The 23,837-nt window shown below is 44.0% G+C and overlaps 2 annotated features.

Annotated features, from left to right (window-relative positions):
- Positions 19,766-19,815: an enhancer, noted in NCBI's record as "active region_26629". NCBI's record gives its function as "activates an Ori minimal core promoter by ATAC-STARR-seq in GM12878 lymphoblastoid cells {active_cell/tissue: GM12878}" and the evidence as "EXISTENCE:reporter gene assay evidence [ECO:0000049][PMID:35858748]".
- Positions 19,826-19,915: an enhancer, noted in NCBI's record as "active region_26630". NCBI's record gives its function as "activates an Ori minimal core promoter by ATAC-STARR-seq in GM12878 lymphoblastoid cells {active_cell/tissue: GM12878}" and the evidence as "EXISTENCE:reporter gene assay evidence [ECO:0000049][PMID:35858748]".

Consider the following 23,837-nt stretch of genomic DNA (forward strand, 5'->3'; position numbering starts at 1 on the left):
GTTCACTGACCCTGTGCTCACCCAGACTGGGGCTATTTGAAACTAACAGTTCCCTCAGTTTCACCAGAAATCCTCCATGGCTTGGGCCATTGGCAGCAGGACCTGAGCCTGGTCCTCCAAATTCTCACTCATAACGTTGACTTAAATGACATTCACCACCAGTGCCTTACTCCCTACCCCAAGACTCTAGCCTCAGGTGTCTTTTTATGTTCGTTTGTTTTTGTCTTTAGAGACAGGGTCTTGCTGTGTTGCCCAGGCTAGATTCTAACTCCTGGGCTCAAGTGATCCTGCCACCTCAGCCTCCTGGGTAGCTAGGATTATAGGAGCAGGGCACTGAGCCCAGTTTATGGTGCAAATCCTATAGATCCATCAAACTTCAGTCTTGAACTGAGAGGCTCAGGGGACTAGGTTGGAAGGAAGGCTTTTCACAGTATGCCCTTTTGTACCTTTTGAATGTTGGACCATGTCAATGTGTCAATGTACTATCTACTAAAATAAGACAAAAAACACAAAAACAGGGCTGGGCACGGTGGCTCATGCCTGTAATCCCAGCCCCTAGGGAGGCCGAGGGGGTGGATCATGAGGTCAGGAGTTCAAGACCAGCCTTGCCAAGATGGTGAAACCCCGTCTCTATTAAAAATACAAAAATTAGCCGGGTGTGGTGGCAGGAGCCTGTAATCCCAGCTACTCAGGAGGCTGAGACAGAGAATTGCTGGAACCTGGGAGGTGGAAGTTGCAGTGAGCCGAGATAGTGCCACTGCACTCCCAGCCTGGTGACAGAATGAGACTCAGTCTCAAACAAACAAACAAAAAAAAAAAAAAAAAAAAAAAACCCCCCACACACACCCCCAGTCCCCTTTTCTCTGTGAATCCTTCTGACTACTCCAGGGAAGAATGAAGCCTTCTTGCCTCTGGCCTCGTGTTTACTACATTTGGCATTAAGAGTTCCTGCCAGTCAGTGCTGCTGATCACCTTTCCCTGTGTAAATGTCTGGCTCCCTTCCCAGGCTAGAAGTCCCTTAAAGGAGGCTGGGCATGGTGGCTCTCGCCTGTAATCCCAGCACTTTGGGAGGGAGGCCTAGGCGGGCAGATCACCTGAGGTCAGGAGTTCAAGACCAGCCTGGCCAACGAACATGGTGAAGCCCCATCGCTACTAAAAATACAAAAATTAGCCAGGTGTGGTGGAGAGTGCCTGTAGCCTCAGCTACTTGCAGGGGCTGAGGCAGGAGAATCCTTGAACCCAGGAGGTGGAGATTGCAGCGAGCTGAGATCACACCACCGCACTCCAACCTAGGTGACAGAGCAAGACTCCATCCCCACCCCCCCCAAAAAAGAGAAATTATACAAATAGTAAGGATGTGAAAGGTGTTTAACCTCTTTAGTTAACAAGGAAATGCACATTGAAACTACCATGAGATACCACACCCACCTACCAGCATGGCTATATTTAGAAAGACTGACAATGTCAAGTGTTGGCAAAAAAATGTGGACCAATGACAACTTTCACACACTGCTCATGGGAGTGGAAACTGGTGCAAACTCCTTAGAAAACTGGAAATATTTACTAAACTGAACATACACATAGCTGATAATCAAGCACTTCCACTGCTGGGTATTCACCCAACAGAACTGCACATTTATGTGCATCCAGAGACATACACAAGAATATACAGGCATTCTTCATGAATAATACCAAACCAGAAACACCTTCAATGTCCAGAATCATAGACTAGATAAATTATGGTATATTGTACAAATGACTAACAGCTACATAGGATATGGTTACTCTCACAAACTATGTTAAACAAAAGGAGCAGGGTACAAAATAATTCATACCGTAAATTTCTGTTTATATAAGCTTCAAAAGCAAGCAAAACTAATATATGGTGTTAGAAGTCAGGTGTTGAGGGGGGAATCTGGGGTGCTGGTGACATACTACTAATAGTTCTCCTGGGTGGAAGTTTACACAGGTGAGTTAACTGAAACTTCATTGACATCTACACTTCTCATTTGTGTACTTGAACCCGGGAGGCGGATGTCATTTAAGAAATTTAAGGCGGATGTTAAATGTCATTTAAGAAATTTATTAGAGGCGGGGAGCAGTGGCTCACGCCTGTAATCCCAGCACTTTCGGAGGCCGAGGCGGGCGGATCATGAGGTCAGGAGATCAAGACCATCCTGGCTAACATGGTCAAACCCCGTCTCTACTAAAAATACAAAAAAATTAGCCAGGCATGCTGGCAGGCGCCTGTAGTCCCAGCTACTTGGGAGGCTGAGGCAGGAGAATGGCGTGAACCCAGGAGGCGGAGCTTGCAGTGAGCCGAGATCGCATCACTGCATTCCAGCCTGGGCGACAGTGTGAGACCCCGTCTCAAAAAAAAAAAAAAAAAAATTTATTAGAAATACATACTTAAAAATCAATGAGGAGACCCTATTTAATAATCCAGTGGCTGCCAAAATTATGCACAGTGGTTTTCTGAATCTTCTTTTAATTTATTTTTATACATATTTTTTGAGATGGAGTCTCGCTCTGTCGCCCAGGCTGGAGTGCAGTGGCGCCATCTCGGCTCACTGCAAGCTGCGCCTCCCAGGTTCAAGCATTTCTCTGCCTGAGGCTCCTGAGTAACTGGGATTACAGGCACCCGCCACCACGCCGGGCTAATCTTTGTGTTTTTAGTAGAGACAGGGTTTCACCATTCTGGCCAGGCTGTTCTTGAACTCCTGACCTCATGATCCACCCGCCTTGGCCTCCCAAAGTGCTGGGATTACAGGCATGAGTCACCGCGCCCGGCCAGTCTTTTCTTATTGTGAAAATGTCAAATGTAAACAAGAGGACAGCAGAATATTAGAGTAGCTTTCCTTTTTTTTTTTTTTTTCCTTGTAGAGAGGGTCTTGCTTTGTCATCCAGGCTGGAGTGCAGTGACGCCATCTCAGCTCACTGCAACCTTCACCTCCTGCGTTCAAGAGATTCTCATGCTTCAGCCTCCCAAGTAGCTGGGATTATGGGCATGCACCACCATGTCCAGCTAAATGTTTGTATGTTTTAGTAGAGACGGGTTTTGCTGTATTGGCCAGGCTGGTCTTTACTGTCCTCAAGTGATCCGCCCGCTTCGGCCTCCCAAAGTGCTGGGATTACAGGTGCGAGCCACTGTGCCTGGCCTAGAGTAACTTTCCTTTGATGAAATCTGCTATCATTTGTTTCTACAAATCATTCTTCTAAAATACTGTATTCCTTATGAAAATAATATAATCATACAAACAAAATTTCGGAAACTAGAAACAAATAAAACCCCTAACCTCTCCCATCCATTTAAACATAAATTGCTTTATAATTTTGATACATTTCCTTCTAATCTTTCTTCCTCCACATTAATGTATTTTAAAGTAAAATACATTATTTTTCTCATTCAGAGTTTTAGTCACTTTCTCTATAATTTGAAAATAGTTTATTATTTACCCAGCATTTATGGTCATCTCTAAAATACTTAGCACTGTGAATATATGTCAGATAAAAATACAAAGTAAATTTCACTTAGCTGTTCAAAAAATAGCATAATAATATAGATTAAATTCCAAGCACCTTGAAGCAGTTTACACTCTTGATAGTCTTATTTACATAAAGGGGACACTTTTATTTTCTCTACTCTTTAGGTAAGAAAAACATGGCACATGGTTGATAATGAGACTATACCCAGAATGCAAGTTTTCCTATCCAACTTTTGCATTACAGCGGGCCTGGTACCAAAATATCAAATATGCAACTTAAAGTACTCTAACTCATTTAGCTAAGAAATCCTTTCCATTCCCTGCTGTCCAAATTCATCAATGCCTGGTTACTCAGATAATATGAATACACTAGAGTCTGGCTAAAATCTTATTTTTAGGTTCATGCTTGAAAACACCTTATAGATGTGATTATTTTTTCCCTATCTATCTTTCTCTATTATAAAGGTAATAAATCTTAATGAACATATCTTGTTAGACTGGGTTGGATTCCCCCAGAAGCAATCCTGTGGGCAATAATTTTCATGCAATATTTTATTTGGGAAGTGATCTTGGGAACCTCTGTTGGGAATAGGAAAGCGAGACGGGGAAGGGAAGTTAAGCCAACAGAGGGTGTGCAATAGGGCAAGGTTCTGTTGTGGGTGTCGAGGCTGGATCCTGCTGAAGAACTTGGGGAGACAGTGGAGAACTCACTTCACATCGTCCCAACTACGGAGGAAAGAAGCTGGGGTCGTTATCCTTCAACGCCCATCTGACAGTTGACTGAGGACTATTTCTGGAGGTGTAACTCCCCAGCACTTCTGGCCTATCTTTAGCTGGAGAAGAGCCAAAAGAAAGGTACTGTTGATACATTTATCTTGGGAAATTCTCAGTCATTATTGCTTCAAATATTTCTTCTGTTCCTTTCTTCTTTTTCTGGTATTCCCATTATGTGTATTTATACCTTGTGTAATTGTCCCTAAGTTCTTGGATATTCTGTTATTCTTTTCAGTCTCTTTTTCTTTTTTTCTTTTTTTTTTTTTGAGACAAGGTCTGGCTCCGTTACCCAGGCTGGAGTGCAGTGGAGTGCAATGGTGCGATCTCAGCTCACTGCAACCTCTGCCTCCCAAGCTCAAGCCATCCTTCCATCTCACCCGCCCAAGTAGCTGAGACTATAGGTGTGCACCACCATGCCTGGCTAATTTTTGTTTGTTTGTTTTTGTAAAGACGGGGTATTGCCATATTGCCCAGGCTGGTCTCGACCTCCCAAAGTTGTGGGGTCACAGGCATGAGCCACTGCCCGGCCCAGTCTTTTTTCTCCACATTTCAGTTTTGGGGGTTTCTATTGACATATCTTCAAGCTCACTGATTTTTTTCCTCAGCTGTATCCAGTGTATAATAAGCCCATTAAAGACATTCTTCATTTTTGTTACAATGTTTTTTATTTCTAGCATTTTTTTATTCATTCTTGGAATGTCCATCTCTCTGCTTACATTACCCATCTGTTTTTGCATGTTGCCTACCTTTTTCATTAGCACCCTTAGCATATTAGTCATAGTTGTTAAATTCCTGGTCTGATCATTCCAGCATCCCTGCCATATCTGAGTCTGGTTCAGATGCCTGAGTTGTAGGAAAGGGGAAGCATTCTAAAGTCCTACGAGTAGGTCTCAGTCTTTTTTTTTTTTTTTTTTTTTTTTTTTGAGACGGTGTGAAATTTCACTCTTGTTGCCTAGGCTGGAGTGCAATGGTGCGATCTCGGCTCATGGCAACCTCTGCCTCCTGGGTTCAAGCAATTCTTCTGCCTCAGCCTCCCAAGTAGCTGGGATGACAGGCATGCACCACCACGCCCGGCTAATTTTGTATTTTTAGTAGAGATGGGCTTTCTCCATGTTGGTCAGGCTGGTCTTGAACTCCCGACCTCAGGTGATCCGCTTGCCTTAGCCTCCCAAAGTGCTGGGATTACAGGCATGAGCCACCATGCCCCGCAGGTCTCAGTCTTTCAGTGAGCCTGTGCCCTTGAGCTGTGATCTTCATAAGTGCCTCTCAGTCTCCACTACCCCCTTTAGATGAGACAAGAAGGCTAGAAGAGGTCAGAGTTGGATATTTTCCTTTCCCCAGCCCAGTTAGGCTGTGGTAAAACCTGTCAGTTAGGCTATGATGAAATAGTTTCCCTTGAGGGCTGCTCTTGTTAGGAAGAAGAGAATGCTCTAGGTGTATTTCTAAATGGCTACTTTCCCCCTTTCCCCTGACAGAAGCATGAGAGGATTTTTGTCGTATTTTCACTGTGAGAACGGGGTAGAGGTAAAACTCACAAAAGTGTGGGTGCTCCATTGAGACTGGGCTCCTTCAGAGTTTTAAACTCACAAACAACTTGTCCATGCTGAGCCTCTAGCAATCCTGCAATTACAGTTGAGGTTCTCCTATCCCAGGCTGCAGAGGTTTCTGCTCCGGTAAATTCTGATTCTTGGCCGGGCGTGGTGGCTCAGGCCTGTAATCTCAGCACTTTGAGAGGCCAAGGCAGGTGGATCACCTGAGGTCAGGAGTTCTAAACCAGCCTGACCAACATGGTGAAACCCTGTCTCTATTAAAAATACAAAAATTAGCCGGGCGTGGTGGCACATGCCTGTAATCCCAGCTACTAGGGAGGCTGAGGCAGGAAAATCACTTGAACCCGGGAGGTGGAGGTTGTAGTGAGCCGAGATCACACCATTGCACTCCAGCCTGGGCAACAAGAGCAAAATTCCACCTCAAAAAAAAAAAAAAAAAAGAATTCTGATTCTCTGACTGGGCGTGGTGGCTCATGTCTGTAATACTAGCACTTTGGGAGGCTGAGGCAGGCAGATCACCTGAGGTCAGGAGTTTGAGACCAGCCTGGCCAACATGGTGAAACCTCATCTCTACTTAAAATACAAAAATTAGCCAGGTGTGGTGGCAGTTCACCTGTACTTGGGAGGTTGAGGCAGAAGAATCGCTTGAACCTGGGAGGCGGAGGCTGCAGTGAGCTGAGATTGAGTCACTGCACTCCAGACTGGGTGACACAGCAAGACTCCATCACACACACATGCACACATACACACACACACACACACACACACACCCCTCTGTTTCTCTGTATTTTCCAGTCTGCCCCTCCAGTGTTGGGGGCAGTAGTTTGCCCTGTGACCTCAGTTCTCTGATGGGTCTAAGAAGAGTTATTAATTTTCAGTTCGTTCAGCTTTTTTCTTGTATGAATGGGACAGATGACTTCTAAGATACATGCCAGACTGAAAAACAAAAGTCTTGATACATTATTACTAACTATAGTCCACATTTCAGGGCCGGGTGCAGTGGTTCATGCCTGTAATCCCAGCACTTTGGGAGACCAAGGTGGGTGGATTGCTTGAGCTCAGAAGTTTCAAGACAAGCCTGGGCAACATAGCAAAACCCCGTTATCTACAAAAAATACAAAAATTTGTCAGGCATGGTGGCACATGCCTGTAGTCCCAGCTACTTGGGAGGCTGAGGTAGGAGGATCACCTGAGCCTGAGGAGGTCAAACTGTAGTGAGCCGTGATCGTGCCACTGCACTCCAGCCTGGGCAACAGAGTGAGACCCTGTCTCAATAAATAAATAAATAAATAAATAAATAAATAAATAAATAAATAAATAAATCCCACACCTTATTCAAAAGTCCAGCCTGGGCAACAGAGTGAGACCCTGTCTCAATAAATAAATAAATAAATAAATAAATAAATAAAGCCCACACCATATTCAAAAGTCCTTAGTTTTTACCTAACGTCCTTCTTTTTTGTCTCAAGATCCCGTCCAGGACACCATATGACATTTATCCAACACATCTACTTGGGTTCCTCTTGGCTGCAACAGTTCCTTGGACTTTCCTTATTTTTGATGACCTTGACAGTTTTGAGGGGTACCGATAAGGTATTCTGTGGAATGTCCCCCAATTGGAATTTGTCTCATGAGAAAATTATGATTAGACTGGGTGATGGGTTTTTTAGAACCATAGAAGTCAAGTACCATTCACATAACATCATATCAAGGGTACCTACTTTCAATATGAATGATCACTGCTGATGTTAACCTCAGTCGCCTGGCTCGGACAGTCTGTAAAATTACTCTTTCCTCAGTCCCTTTACAAATTGTATTTTTTGGAAGAAAGTCACTATGCTCAGCCCACACTTAAGGACAGGGGAGTTATACTCCATCTCCTTGAAGGCAGAGTATCTACATACATTATTTAGAATTCTGCATAGGAGCTTTGTCTTTCCTCATTCATTCATTTGTTTATATCACTATGAACTCATGGATATCTATTTTATACTTTGAATTACAATCCAATACCACTTCATCTATTTTTTTCTTTTTTGAGACAGAGTTTCACTCTCTATCACCCACGCTGGGGTGCAGTGGTGGGATCATAGCTCACTGTAGCTTCAACTTCCCAGGCTCAAGTGATCCTCCTGTCTCAGCCTCCCAAGTAGCTGGGACCACAGACATGGGCCACCATGCCTGGCCAATTTTTAAATTAATTTTAATTTTAATTTATTATTATTTTTCTTATCTCCTAGAGCCTTCAGATGAGATAATTTTTAATTTTTTTAAGAGATGGGTTCTCCCTATGTTGCCCAGGCTGGTCTTGAACTCCTGGGCTAAAGAGATTCTCCCTCCTTAGCCTCCCAAAATGCTAGGATTATAGGTGTGAGCCACTGTGCCTGGCCACGTCATCTATTTTTATTGCCCCACATTGTTCCAGCTTTGGCCACTGGGAGGTCTTTGAGTTGGCTCCCATGTCCCTTTGTAATAACCACATCGGGTGTGTGTGTGGGGTGTGTGTGTGTGTGTGTGTGTGTGTGTGTGTGTGTGTTCTTCCTGAGTACTTCCTTCTTTCTGGCACTGTAAGACACTGCAAGCTCAGCATACAAAACTGCAGCTAGATAAGAGAATTAAGTTCTAGTGCACTTAGAATGCCCTACAGTTAATACTGTAGGATGACTACAGTTAACAGTAATATACAGTTTCAATATACATATTGAGTACAATACAGTTAACAATAATATATAGTTTCAAATAGGTAGAAGGAGAATATTGAAGGTTCCTAACACAAAGAAATGATAAATGTTTGAGATGATGGATATGCTAATTACCCAGATCTCATCATTATACATTATATGTTGAAACATCATCGTGTACCCCATAAAATATGTACAATTATTATGTAAACTAAAACCTACAATTTAAAAAGGTGCATCCAGGGCAGGCGTAGTGGCTCATGCCTGTAATCCCAGCACTTTGGGAGGCCAAGGCGGGCAGATAACCTGAGGTCAGGAGTTCGAGACCAGCCTGGCCAACATGGAGAAACCCCATCTCTACTAAAAATACACAAATTAGCCAGGTGTTGTGGTGCATGCCTGTAGTCCTAGCTACTCCGGAGGCTGAGGCAGAAGAATCACTTGAACCTGGGAGGTGGAGGATGCAGTGAGCCGAGATCACACCACTGCACTCCAGCCTGGGTAACAGAGTGAGACTCTGTCTCAAAAAAATAAAAATAAAGTGGCTATAAACAATCACATGTAGGTTTCTGAGAGGACTTAAATGTTAAAATTAGTTTGGTAAATACCTAGCAGTGCGTTTGCTGGATCATATGTTAAGACTAAGTTTAGATTTGTAAGAAACTGCCAGTTTTCTAAAGTGGCTGTACCATTTTACATTCGCATCAGTAATGAATAAGAGCTCCTGTTGCTTGTTGTCCTTACCAGCAATTAGTATTGTTAGTTTTTTGGATTTTAATCATTCTTTTTTTTTTTTTTGAGACAGAGTCTTGCTCTGTCTCCCAGGCTGAAGTGCAGTGGCAGGATCTCAGCTCTCTGCAACCTCCAACTCCTGGGTTCAAGCAATTCTCCTGCCTCAGCCTCCTGAGTAGCTGGGACTACAGGCACATGCCACCACGCCTGGCTAATTTTTGTATTTGTAGTAGAGATGGGGTTTCACCATGTTGGCCCAGGCTGGTCTGGATCTCCCGACCTCGTGATCCACCCACCTCAGCCTCCCAAAGTGCTGGGATTATAGGCATGAGCCATCGTGCCCGGCTGGAGTTTAGTCATTCTAATAGGTATGTAGTGGTATCCCACTGTGGTTTAAATTTGCAATTCTCTGATGACAAATAATGAGCATCTTTTCATATGCTACCCTCATTTTAAAATTAGTCAAATATAATCGCTGTTAGAGAAAATAGGCTAATGTACTGTGGCATTTATAACATATGTAGAAAAGAACCTATGACAAAAATAGCAGAAGGGACAGGTTGGCAGAAATTGATTTATATTACAGTTAAGTTCTTATATTAAATGTGAAGTGATATCAAATGAAAGGAGATTGTGATAAAAGTGTACATTTGTAAAATCTAGAGCAACCACTAAAAAAATAAATAAATAAATACACAAAGAGGTTTAGCTAATAAGCCAATAGTAGAGATAACGAGGAATTGTAAAAGAAAAATAAACCCTCAGTCCCAAAGAAAACAAGCAAATGGAGAAAAGGAACAAGAAACACATGGAACAAAAAGAAAACAACTTGTAAGATGATAAATTTAGGCTGGGCACAGTGGCTCACGCCTGTAATCTCAGCACTGGGAGGCCAAGGCAGGCGGATCACCTGAGGTCAGGAGTTCGAGACCAGTCTGGCCAACACGGCAAAACCCTATCTCTACTAAAAATACAAAAAATTAGGCTTGGCGTGGTGGCTCACGCCTATAAGCCCAGCACTTGGGAGGCTAAGATGGGTGGATCACCTGAGGTCAGGAGTTTGAGACCAGACTGACCAACATGGTGAAACACCGCCTCTACTAAAAATACAAAAATTAGCCGGGCATGGTAGTGCGTGCCTGTAATCCTAACTAATTGGGAGGCTGAGGCAGGAGAAGCGCTTGAATCCGGGAGCTAGAGGTTGCAGTGAGTCGAGATTGCGCCATTGCACTGCAGCCTGGCCAACAAGAGCAAAACTCTGTCTCAAAAAAAGAAAAGATGATAAATTTAAAGCCAACCATATCAATCATCAATTAAATGGAAACAGTGTACATATCCCAATTAAAAGGTAGAGATGGAATGGACATGGTGGCTCAAACCTGTAATCCCAGTACTCTGGGAGGCTGAGGCGGGGCAGGAGGATTGTTTGAGATCAGCCTGGGCAACATGAGAAGACCCTGTATCTTAAAAAAAAAAAAAAAAAAAAAAAGGAAAGAAAGAAAGGAGGGGAGGGGAAGGTAGGAGGGAGGGAGGGAAGGAGGGAGGGAGGAAGGAAGGAAGGAAGAAAGAGAAAAATTAGCTGGCATGTGCTTGTAGTCCCAGCTACTCAGGAGTCTGAGGTGGGAGGAGGATTGCTTGAGGCCAAGAGTTCAAGGCTGCAGTGAACTGTGATTGCACCACTGCACTCCAGCCTGGGTAGAGTGAGACCTTGTCTCTCAAAAAATACTAAACAACCAATAAAGTAATTATCCCTCCTAAAATAACACAGGAAAGTAAAAAGAAAGAAAAAAAGAAGAAAATCCAAAATAATTCAAAAATTACACTAAAAAAATTCCATGACTTTCCACAGTAGTATGCAGACACTTAAGTGGGCAATACACATTTTTTAACACAACAGGAATAATGAGCTTAAGTGTATCTCAAGTTAGTATTATAACAAAGAGAAAAAGATTATTTCAAGTGTCTTTAGACCACAGTTTTTTCTTTTTTGTTTTTTTTCTTGACACAGGGTCTTGCTCTGTTACCCAGGCTGGAGTGTAGTGGTACGATTACGGCTCACTGCAGCCCCAAACTCCTGAGCTCAAGCAATCCTCCTGACTCAGCCTCCTGAGTAGCTGCGACTACAGGTGCATCCCGCCATGCCTGGCTACTTAAAAAAATTTTTTTGTTGTTGGCTAGGGGCTGTAGCTCATACCTGTAATCCCAGCACTTTGGGAGGCTGAGACAGGTGGATCACTTGAGGTCAGGCGTTCGAGATCAGCCTGGCCAACATGGTGGAACCCTGTCTCTACTAAAAGAACAAAAATTAGCCAAGTATGTAGTCTCAACTACTCAGGAGGTTAAGGCATGAGAATCGCTTGAGCCCAGGAGGTGGAGGTTGCAGTGATCCGAGATTGCACGACTACACTCCAGCCTGGGCGACAGAGCAAGACTGTCTCAAAAAAACAAAACAAACTTTTTTTTTTTTTTGTAGAGACAGTCTCCCTATGTTGCCCAGGCTTGTCTCAAACTCCTAGGCTCAAGCTCTTGCCTCAGCCTCCCAAAGCACTGGGATTACAGGCGTTAGCCACCATGCCCTGCCAAGACCATAGTATTTTGACTATACATCCTTAGTGGAAAATTTTTTTAAAGCACACAAAGATGCAAAGAAATCTCACAATTTCCTCAATAGTCTTGCTGTAAATAGTAATATTGAGATTATTACTTTGAAGCTATTTTACATACATTATAAAGCAAATAGGTAATTGTCTTAATGTTATTAGAACTAATATTTTCAGTGTAAGAGAAAAGTGATATAGGTAAAAAATCAGTAAGGTTAATTAAACAATTGGATGGTTAAATTTGAATCAGAAATATCGATATAAACTATTTTCGTTGTTTTCAAAAATACTTATTTCATAGCACTGTCCATTGAAATGACAACCCAGTAGTCATGATCTCTCCCAGTGTCTAAATTGCAGTCTATAAATATTCCTCACTAACTGGAACCTGGGCTTTTTATAGGAATGCTGATTGTTAGTATGTGGCCAGAATGAGCCTGAGACATCTTATTTTTGCCTGGGATATCATCATGTTACAGAAAGCAAGTAAGCAGTAAGACACACAAACCATCATGAATACATAAAAAACAAAGGCAAAGACAAAACCCCCAAAAAACGCTGACCTATACACTTCGAAATTGTTAACATGGTACATTTATGTCATGCGTATGTTATGAGCTGAATTGCGTCCCACTTCCTGCCAATTTGAATCCTGACACCCTAATCCTGAGTACCTCGGAATGTGACTATTTGGAGACAGGGCCTTTAAAGAGGTAATTAAGTAAAAATGGAGTTAGTGAGAACCCTAATTCAGTATGACTGGCATCCTTATAAGAAGAGGAAATTAGGCCAGGTGCGGTGGCTCATGCTTGTAATCCCAGCACTTTGGGAGGCCAAAGTGGGCGGATCACAAGGTCAAGTTCGAGACCAGCCTGACCAACATGGTGAAACCCTGTCTCTACTAAAAATACAAAAATTAGCCAGGTCTGGTGGTGCGCACCTGTAATCCCAGCTACTTGGGAGGCTGAGGCAGAAGAATCGCTTGAACCCAGGAGGCGGAGGTTGCAGTGAGCTGAGATCATGCCACTGCACTTCAGCCTGGGCGACAGAGCAAGACTCCATCTCAAAACACACAAACAAACAAACAAAAACTGGGACACAAAGGGAGAGAGAGGGAGAGGGAAGGAGATACCAGACATGCACGTGCACAGTTAGAAGGTTGTGTCTGCAAGCCAAGGAGAGGGGCCTTAGGAGAAACCAACCCTGTTGACACCTGATGTCAGACTTCCAGCCTCCTGAACTGTGAGAGAATACATTTCTGTTGTGTAAGCCACCCAGTTTGTGGGATTTTAAGGCAGCCCTAGAAAACTAATACAATATATTTTACCATAATTAGAAAAACCAACCAACCAACCAACCAGCAAGAAAACCCTAAGTTGACACTTAACAGAACAGAAAGCTCAAAACAAGCAAACAAAAGTATGCGTTAGCCACCTGAATGTCTGTGGTCTGCTGTTGAAGTTTCCAGAAAGCATGAGCCATGTCAACTGGTGTCAACATATCTGAGTGGGTCCTAGTTTCAGCTGGGTCCTCAACGCTGGCGGTCAGCTCCCTTGCCTGCCCTTGTTTGGCACCTTCTCCCTCCACAAGGCCTGTTCCACACCTTCGCCATTGCTGCCCGCTCCCTGTTGACTGGCGGTGGGGGGCCCTTCCAGCAGATGACTTTGTTTCTTGCCTCATAGAAAAGCAGGGACCAACCAGCCTGACATCTCTCTCCCTCCCAGGGCCCCTGCAAACACTCAAGTCCACACCCTCTCCTGTCCTTCCTTCTTCCCCTCCAGTCTCTCAAACGTGGAGGTGCCCCACATCCTTTCAGTCCCCCGCCATTTTTGTGCTTTCTCACCTTAGAACGCTTCCTCCATCAATTTCTTCCCCTTGTTTTTTGTTTTCTAACCCCCTGCATTCATAATTCTCTTTTTTTAAAAAACAAAACAAAAAACATCACTTCAACCTCTTTTTCTACTGATTCCTTTCCAGAAGCCTCTAACTAGGTTCAATCTCCCTCATGCCCAATACATACATGCTGCCTTGATCCCAAGCTTTCGCTAGCTATCACAACCTCTCCATCACTCCCTTTCCATCCACCACTCTTAAAGGACACTACTCTAGTTACCAATACATTCCCACTTTCCCTTCATCCTGCTGCCTCTTGAATTCTGGCTTTTGCTCGCACCACTCCACAGTAACTATTCCGACAAAGCTGTTTCAAACTTCCTATTGGATTGCTTGCCCTCCTCCGTTGCTTATGGGCTTCTTCTCTTTTATGTATGTACAACTGGCATCTCAGACTCTGTATATCCCAAGCCAAACACATCATTATTTTTCTCAAGTGCACTTCCCTTCCTGAGTTCTTTATTTTTGTTAATGGAGCTACTGTCACTCAGCTCCATACTTCAGTATCGTATTTGGGCTTTGGGGTTATTTATTTATTTATGTCTTTTTTTTTTTTTTTTCGAGATGGAGTCTGGCTCTATCACCCAGGATGGAGTGCAATGGCGTGATCTCAGCTCATTGCCACCTCCACCTCCAACCTCCACCTCCCGGGTTCAAGCAATTCTCCCGCCTCAGCCTCCTGGTAGCTGGGATTACAGGCATGCAGCACCACAGCCAGCTAATTTCATGTTTTTAGTACAGACGGGGTTTCACCATCTGGGCCAGGCTGGTCTCGAACTCCTGACCTCAGATGATCCACCCTCCTTGACCTCCCAATGTGCTGGGATTACATATTTATTTATTTATTTATTAATTATTTTATTTATTTATTTATTTATTTTTATTGTTTGTTTGAGACGGAGTCTCGCTCTGTCGTCCAGGCTGGAGTGCAGTGGAGTGATCTTGGCTCACTGCAAGCTCTGCCTCCTGGGTTCACGCCATTCTCCTGCCTCAGCCTCCCCAGTAGCTGGGAGGCGCCCGCCACCACACCTGGCTAATTTTTTTCTATTTTTCGTAGGACGGGGTTTCACCATGTTAGCCAGGATGGTCTCGATCTCCTGACCTTGTGAACCGCCCGCCTCGGCCTCCCAAAGTGCTGGGATCACAGGCGTAAGCCACCGTGCCTGGCCTATTTATTTATTCTTGAGATGAAGTCTCGCCCTTGTCACCCAGGCTGGAGTGCAATGGCGTGATCTCAGTTCACTGCAACCTCCACCTCCCAGGTTCAGGCGATTCTCCTGCCTCAACCTCCTGAGTAGCTGGGATTACAGACGCCTGCCACCAGACCTGGCTGATTTTTGTATTTTTAGTAGAGACGGGGTTTCACCATGTTGGCCATGCTGGTCTCGAACTCCTGACCTCAGATGATCCGCCCGCCTCAGCCTCCCAAAGTGCTGGGATTACAGGCATGAGCCCCCGCACCCGGCTCATACTTATTTATTTTTAAAAGCAATTTAAACTAATTTTCTTCATTAGCTAATTCATCCAAAAGGTTCAAGATTTAAAATATTCAAATTATAAACACTAAAAAGACTCTCTTTCACTACTGACCCCCAGCCACCCCACTTCTCTTAAACAGGCCACTTAATGTCATCAATTTTGTACGTATTTCTCTAGGGATATATAAACATATGTAAGCAAAGATGTTTGTTTACATATTTCCTTTTTATGGCCAGGTGCAGTGGCTCATGCCTTTATGGCACTTTGGGAAGCCAAGTTGGGCAGATCTCTTGAGCCCAAGAGTTTAAGACTAACATGGACAACACAGTGAAACACCGTCTCTACTAAAAAAATACAAAAAAAAAAAAAAAAGGGCCAGGCACGGTGGCTTGTGCCTGTAACCCCAGCACTTTGGGGGGCTGAGGCGGGTGGATCACCTGAGGTCAGGAGTTCAAGATCAGTCTGGCCAACATGGCGAAACCCCATCTCTACTATAAATACAGAAAGTAGCTGGGTGTGGTGGCAGGTGCCTGTAGTCCCAGTTACTTGGGAGGCTGAGGTAGGAGAATCACTTGAACCTGGGAGGCGGAGGTTGCAGTGAGCCGAGATCACACCATTGCACTCCAGCCCTGGGTGACAGAGCGAGACACCATCTCAAGAAAAAAAAAATTATCTGGGTGTAGTGGCGCACACCTGTAATCCTAGCTACTCCAGAGGCTGAGGTGGAAGAATCACCTGAGCCTGGGGAGGTTGAGACTGTGGTGAGCCATGATGGTGCCACTGCACTCCAGCCTGGGCGACTGAGTGAGTCTCTGTCTCAAAAAACAAAACAAAACATATTTCCCTTTTACAAATGCAAATAAGGCTACGTGAGCTATGTTCATGCCACTGCACTCCAGCCTGGGCAACACAGTGAGACTCTGTTTAAAAAAATAAATAAATAGTGCTCACTTTGGCAGCACATATAAAATCGCACATCTACAACCATCTGATCTTTGACAAACCAAAACAAGCAATGGGGAAAGGATTTCCTGTTTAATAAATGGTGATGGGAGAACTGGCTAGCCATATGCAGAAAACTGAAACTCGATCCTTTCCTTACACCTTTATACAAAAATTAACTCAAGATGGATTAAAGCCTTAAATGTAAAACCCCAAACTACAAAAACCCTAGAAGAAAATCTAGACAATACCATTCAGGACATAGGAATGGGCAAAGATTTTATGATAAAATTGCCAAAAACAATCGCAACAAAAGCAAAATTCAACAAATGGGATCTAATTAAACTAAAGAGCTTATGCATAGCAAAAGAAACTACCATCAGCTGGGCGTGGAAGCTTACGCCTGTAATCCCTGCACTTTGGGAGGCGGAGGTGGGCAGATCTCTTGAGGTCAGGAGTTCAAGATCAGCCTGGCCAACATAGTGAAACCCCGTCTCTAGTAAAAATACAAAAATTAGCTGGGCGTGGTGGCATACACCTGTAATCCTAGCTACTTGGGAGGCTGAGGCAGAAGAATCACTTGAACCCAGGAGGCAGAGGTTGTAGTGAGCCAAGATCACACCATTGCACTCCAGCCTTGGCAACAAGTTTTTGAAACTGTCTCAAAAAAAAAAAAAAAAAAAAAGAGAAATGCAAATCAAAACCACAATGAGATACCATCTTACACCAGTCAGAATGGCGATTATTAAAAAGTCAAGAAATGACAGATGCTGGTGAGATTGCAGAGAAATAGGAATGCTTTTACACTGTTCGTGGGAATGTAAATTAGTTCAACCATTGTGGAAGACAGTGTGGCGATTCCTCAAAGATTTAGAACTGGAAATACCATTTGACCCAGCAATCCCATTACAGGGTGTATACCCAAAGGAATATAAATCACTCTGTTATAAAGATACATGTACACGTATGTTCATTGCAGCACTATTCACAATAGCAAAGACATGGAATCAACCCAAATGCCCATCAATGATAGACTGAATAAAGAAAATGTGGTACATATACACCATGGAATACTACGCAGCCATAAAAAAACAAGATCATGTCCTTTACAGGGACATAAATGGAGCTGGAAGCCATTATCCTTAGCAAACTAATGCAGGAATAGAAAACCAAACATTACATGTTCTCACTTATAAGTGGGAGCTGAACAATGAGAACACAGGGAGGGGAACAACACTTACCGGGGCCTGTCAGGGGAGGATGGTGGGGGAAGAGCACTAGGGAAAAGAGCTAATGCATGCGGGGCTTAAACCTAGGTGATGGGTTGATAGGTGCAGCAAACCACCATAGCACACGTTTACCTATATAATAAACCTGTACGTCCTGCACATGTACCCAGGAACTTAAAAAAAAAGTCAAGTGGTTGAGGATTTTATAATTGATTTTTTAGTCTTAAAAAAAGGAAAAAACAAGAAATAAATAAATACCATTTAAAAAATAAAAAATGCAAGTGATAGCTTGCCATATACACAGTTCTATCCCTTGTGTTTTTCATGTACATATCTTGGATGTGATCTTACTGAATGCTCTCTCATTCTTTGTTATAGCTGCATAGTGTTTAGCAGTGTTTCTGATTTCTCTCTTGTCTCCAACATCTACTCAATTGCCAAGTTATATTAATGATGTATTATTTTTCCTATGGCATCTCTATTCCCAGTGCTGATTAGTTTAGACTTTCACGCCTGGATTGCCACAATAGCCTCCTGTTTGTCCTCTCCTTAGCCTTTCCTTTATTTCATGCTATTCCGTTAGATTCATCTTAAGTACCGCTCTGATTATGTTATTTCCCAGCTTAGCAATTTTCTCCTTGCCTGCAGAATCTGATGCTACGTTCTCTCCATTTTTCTTACTGCCCCCTCCTCCTTCATGCTCTGAACTCTTAAGTCACACCGAAGAGCCTGATGATCCTAGAACAGACCTTGTGAATTTTCACGGGAGCGTTTTCCATATTGTTACTTTACCTTGAGGTAGATGACATTGCCACCAAGTCCAAAACCACCCCATCCTTCAGTTCAGCTCAGACACTAACTTTCCTCTGAAGGCCTACTGATCCCCACAATTAGTCCAGCAAGCTAAAAGTGAGTCTGGCAAGGTGCCTAAGATACATTTAAGGGGTTGCTCATTCTCAGGGTCATGCAAGTGCCAACGCTGCATTCACACACCCTGAGAGTGGGTGGCTTCTTAAATTTTGCCTCCTCAGTGACTTGCTTACCTCTTCCTAGTCCCAGCCTTTCCTTAGCAGTCCTAGGCCTCCTCTAAACTCCCAAAGAGCTTGATTTGCACATCTCTAAGGGTGTTCTCTTCCTAGCCTGCACTGTAGTTATTGAAGTACAGACTTCATTTTCTCCCCACTAAGTTCCTTGAGGGCGGCACCACGCCTGACCCACACTGGATCCCTGGTGCCTCTCCCCGAATCTCACACACAGCCCACGTGTATTTGTTACAGCTCTTTAGGTTAGGACTGTCTGCTCACCTGAAACCATGCTCAAAGGACTTTCGTAAAAAAGACAAAGGCAATCAGGAGCTATTCAGGAACTTAAGAAACCCAAAGGCAGGAATCCTGTGGGTCTTAGGAAGAGAATCAGAAACTAGAGCACTGTGGGGACTCCAGGAACTCCCGCCCCACTCCCGCCCGCTTCCCCTCTATCTGCTTCTCTGTGTGCATCTGCCTTGCTCCTCTCTCACTAATGATGGACTTTCTGTTTCTCACTTCATTTAGTGGAAAATTGCCTCTGTCTACAGCTTCCAAAGTTGGGTAACTTGTAGCTCAAGTACACATACACCAAAGGGCATAGAGAGAAAGAGAGATCTCAACTTTGATTTCAAAATCTCCGTGAAAGGCTCTAATTGGCCCAGGTTGAGTCAGGAACCTGCTTCTGGACCAACTATCTGTGGCCAGAAGGCACTGCAGGAATATGGCAATCTTGGGGACCTCGGTGGTGTTCATGCATCTTATCTCTATAGCTCCATCATTAGCGTGATCAGCTCCATCATCAGCTCCAGCTTCCAGTTTCTGTGTCTCTTAGCCAAACAAACATTCTAAATTCCCAAGACAGAGAATAAACTTGGCACTGCCTGGGTCAGGTGACCACCCTTGAATCACGCAGCAATGGGGGATAAAGAGAGACAGGGTCTCAAATATAGGCATGACTGGTGGAGGTCATCTCTGTGAATGAGGCAGTTTCTACAGAAGGGGGACTCTGTTGACTAGTGAGTCATACCCAAAGATGAATGCAATGATTGAATGATCTCATTTTAAAAAGAGCAACTGTCCAAAGCTATTAGCTAAGTATTAGACAGTTATTAGAAAACTCAAACTGGAATCAGTCTCTGAGCCTTGATTAAACTTCTGGTGGCTGGGCATGGTGACTCACACCTGTAATCCCGGCACTTTGGGAGGCCGAGGCAGGTGGATCACCTGAGGTCAGGAGTTTGAGACCAGCCTGGCTAAGATGGTGAAACCCTGTCTCTACTAAAAATACAAAAATTAGCTGAATGTGGTGGCACTTGCCTGTAATTCCAGCTACTTAGGGGGCTGAGGCATGATAATTGCTTGAACCCGGGAGGTGGAGTTTGCTGTAAGCCAAGATTATGCCACTGCACTCCAGCCTGGATGACAGGGCAAGACTCTGTCTCAAAAACCAAAACCTTTCTTCCCAATGTCTCTCAAATCTCTCCCTTCCCTCTATTCCACCAACACCACCATAGTTTGCACTCAGGTCTGATGCTCTGCTGGGCCTTCTTCACTTCCATTCCAGCTGCTGACTGTACCGAGTAATCTGCTCCAAACACGTGGCTTTCCTGTTGTCACCAGTCACTCGGTCTGTCTGAAACCAAACACATCCTCTTTCTATTGAAATTCACTTCCCATTAGAAGACCGTCAACGACACTAACATCTCTTCAGCATTTAGTTCTTGAACACCTGGAATTACTTCTGACTTTTGCCCTCCTACTCCTTCACTATCTCATCAGTTATCAAGCAGTGTTGAATTTTTCTTTATCGCCTTTGTTGGCGTTCTTCTTTTCATTTCTTCCAGCCATCTCCAACCTGTTAGGGAGTTTAGGAAATTGTTCAAAGACTGATTAATAAGATGGTATGGAGAGGATGTTTGGTTGGGGATGTGGGAATGTCTGAATCCTGTCTTGGCCAGCCATCTCTACTCATCAGGAGTGTGGGGAGTACATGTGCAATGACACACCAGGGAAAGGAACACTTTATTATTAGCTGGGTATGAACCACAATGCAGAAGTCAGGAAAGATAGGCTGGATTCTGGTCATCTCTGTCTATCCTCCCCACATCAATGCCCAAATTTGAGTCTTGGAACTTTTCTTCCGAGTGGGATAGAGGCACACTAACCAGAAAAAGTAGAGAGAAAGACAAATCCACAGCCTCTTTGCCCCAAGCCCGGGGCCTTGCTAAGACTTTTTCTGTGGGCCATAGCCTTAGGGCCTGGCTACCTTGTGGGAGAGGGAAAGAGAACAAGCTGGCTGGGCTGCCTCTGAGAAAGGCAAGGGCAGCCCTTGTTACCACTCAGAGTATGTTGAAGAACGGGAAAGACGCAGCACTTTCTGTTGAACGTGTTATCTTTTAAGGGCTCCATCCCAAGAAAATGTTATTCCATATTCTCCAATTTTAGTAAGATTTTCTTCCTTTGTGTGTGTTTGGTGGTGGGGAGATGAAATTTCTTCACCATCCTACCTCCACCTTGGGGGAAGGAAGAGGGTGGGGAGGGAGAAGCCTTGAGCGCCCTCTAGAGACCAGAAGCCCAACTCACTCCCTGGTGAATCTACACTCCTATGACCTTAGTGCTTAGCTCAAAATTGTCAACTGTCTATTGCCTACTAAGAACCAGTTCCTTGGCAGGCATGGTGGCTCAGGCCTGTAATCCCAGCACTTTGGGAGGCCGAGGTGGGTGGGTCACCTGAGGTCAGGGGTTCGAGACCAGCCTGGGCAACATGGTGAAACCCCGTCTCTACTAAAAACACAAAATTAGCCGGGCGTGGTGGCGCATGCCTGTAGTCCCAGCTATTTGAGAGGCTGAGGCAGGAGAATCGCTTGAACCCGGGAGGCGGAGGTTGCAGTGAGCCAAGATCGCACCATTGCACTCCAACCTGGGCAACAAGAGCGAAACCTCATCTCAAAAAAAAAACAAAAAAACACAATTTCTAAGGAGGCCATTAGAACCCTCTACAGTCTGGCTCAAGGCACCTTTTTTGGTCATTAGAATGACTTTAGGATAGTAGCAGATAGGGAAAGCACAGAAAAATGAATGCCAAATTTAATCATCCAGCGAACAGACTGGCTGGATCTAATCAAGAGGGGAAGGAACCTGGGTGAGGTTACCAGAATTTCACCTACTTCATAACCAAATCAACAGATCCAACAAGAATTAAATAAGGCATCACGGGAATCTAATCTGTAGGGAAGGGTGTGGGGAGACCCTTGTGGAAACAGCATCTATGTGAAAGGGACTTGATGTGTTCACAGTGGTAGCAGAAGAATCTCTGTGTCTTGACTCTTAGCCAAAAATCTCCAGCCAAAACACAGCCTCCCCTGTTCTCCTGCAAAGGTAAGCCCAGTCCGTTTGGGGCAGTAACCTCAGTTTGCTCAGAATGGTAAATGTCATTTAATCCTAAGAAGGTTCTGCATTAAAGATGAGGATAGTAAAATAAATCAGATCTGCAGTATTCATACTTTTGTGTTAACCTTGGTAATATTTTGTTTAATTTTGTATTTTCAATGTTTGTAAGATTTAGTATTTATCATATTAGAGAATCTGACAAGTTTCACGAAACAAGAGCCTTACTAAGTTTGATGTTCTCTGCCATTTTCTATTTCTTTAATGAAATGTTGGTAATGACCCACTAAGTTACTTATGTGTTTCATCAGTGGGTACTGGCCTGAGACCCTGATAATGGTTAAAAGTACAACTCTGAGGTCAGGCTGATGACTTTCAGATCTAGCTTATTGTCTGGGTTTGGGCAAGTAACCCCTATATGTCCTTGTTTCTTCATCTGTAAAATGGGATAATATTAGTAACTACCCAGGCCGGGCACAGTTGCACACCTGTAATCCCTGCACTTTAGGAGGCTAAGGTAGAACGGCTTGAGCCCAGGAGTTGGAGACCAGCCTGGGCAACAGGCATCTGCCTGTGGTCCCAGCTACTCAGGAGGCTGAGATGGGAGGATTGCTTGAGCCCAGGATGAGACTGCAGTGAGCTGTGTTTGCGCCACTGTATTCCAGTCTGGGAGATACAGTGAGACCCTGTCTCAAAAGTTAAAAAAAAGGTAGTACCTACCTTGTGGGCTCTACTTGATAATTAAATGAGAAAGAAGATAATGTGCATAAAGGCTTCCACTAGGGCCTGACGCATCGTGAGCGCTCAATAAACGTGGGGAGTACTGGGTGTGATGACAAAGGGTCTAATGCACCCAATCTTGGGAGATGAAAAAATGCTGCCTGGAGGCGATGGTATTAATGTTGGGATCTGAAAGAATGGTAAGAATTATTCAGGTGAGGATTCAAGTAAGTGCATAGATGGTGTAGAGAGAAATGAAGTTATGGGCAAAGGGAACAGCCCTTGCAACAGTTGTGAGGTGGCACAATTTCCAGGCTTAAATGACCTGAGAGCTTCCCAGTTTTGAGTGTAGCCTGAGAAATATCTGTGGCAGATGAGGTCAGAGATGGCAACAGGGATGAGATCACCAATGGCCCTGTAGCCACCTCAAAGAATTTTAGACTTTATCCTACGTGTTAATCAGATCTTTTTAAGAGTCTTAAACAGGGAAAAAACATGATTTTCTTTCTTGAAAGACCATTCAAGCTGTAGTGGATTTGGAGAGGGCAATTTCGGTGGCAGGGAGACCAAGAGGAGTCTACCGCAGTGTCTCTAGGAGAGATGACAGTAGCCTGAACCAGAGTAAGAACTGACAGGGAACAACAGTTTTAAAAATCTAATTGGGGCTGGGTGCAGTGGCTCACGGCTGTAATCCCAGCACTTTGGGAGGTTAAGGCAGGCAGATCACTTGAGCCTAGGAGTTCGAGACCAGCCCGGGCCAACAAGATGAAACCTCATCTCTACTAAAAATACAAAAATTAGCCGGGCGTGGTGGTGGGGACCTGTAGTCCCAGCTACTGGGGAGGCTGAGGTGGGAGGATCCTTGAGCCCAGAGAGGTCGAGGCTGCAGTGAACAATGATTGCACCACTGCCCTCCAGCCTAGGTAATAGAGTGAGAATCTGTCTCACAAACAAACACATCTAATTTAACATGGGGACTCCAGAGACAGAGGAAAGAGTAATGGATCATTTCCAGGTTTCTGGCTTGAGCACTTGGGTGGCTAGTGTTGGCACTCTCCTAGAAAACACTGGAGAAAAAGACATTCAATTTTTGGATATGTTGAATTTTGAGGTTAATAGAATCTTGAAAATTAAAGCTTCCTGATTTTGTTAATCCGTTTTCTGACACCCTTTAGCAATTCTTCAATGCAATGCTTTTCACATTATTATATGCATAAGAATCACCAGGGGTGTGGAGATGGGGATGTGAAAATGCAGGTTCCTAGGCAAACAAGCCAAGATTCTGGATACCAACTGGGTCCCAGGACTCAAAACAATCAGCCTGAGTAATTCTGATGGAG

Source organism: Homo sapiens, chromosome 7, assembly GCF_000001405.40.
Source record: "Homo sapiens chromosome 7, GRCh38.p14 Primary Assembly".
Lineage (NCBI taxonomy): Eukaryota > Metazoa > Chordata > Mammalia > Primates > Hominidae > Homo > Homo sapiens.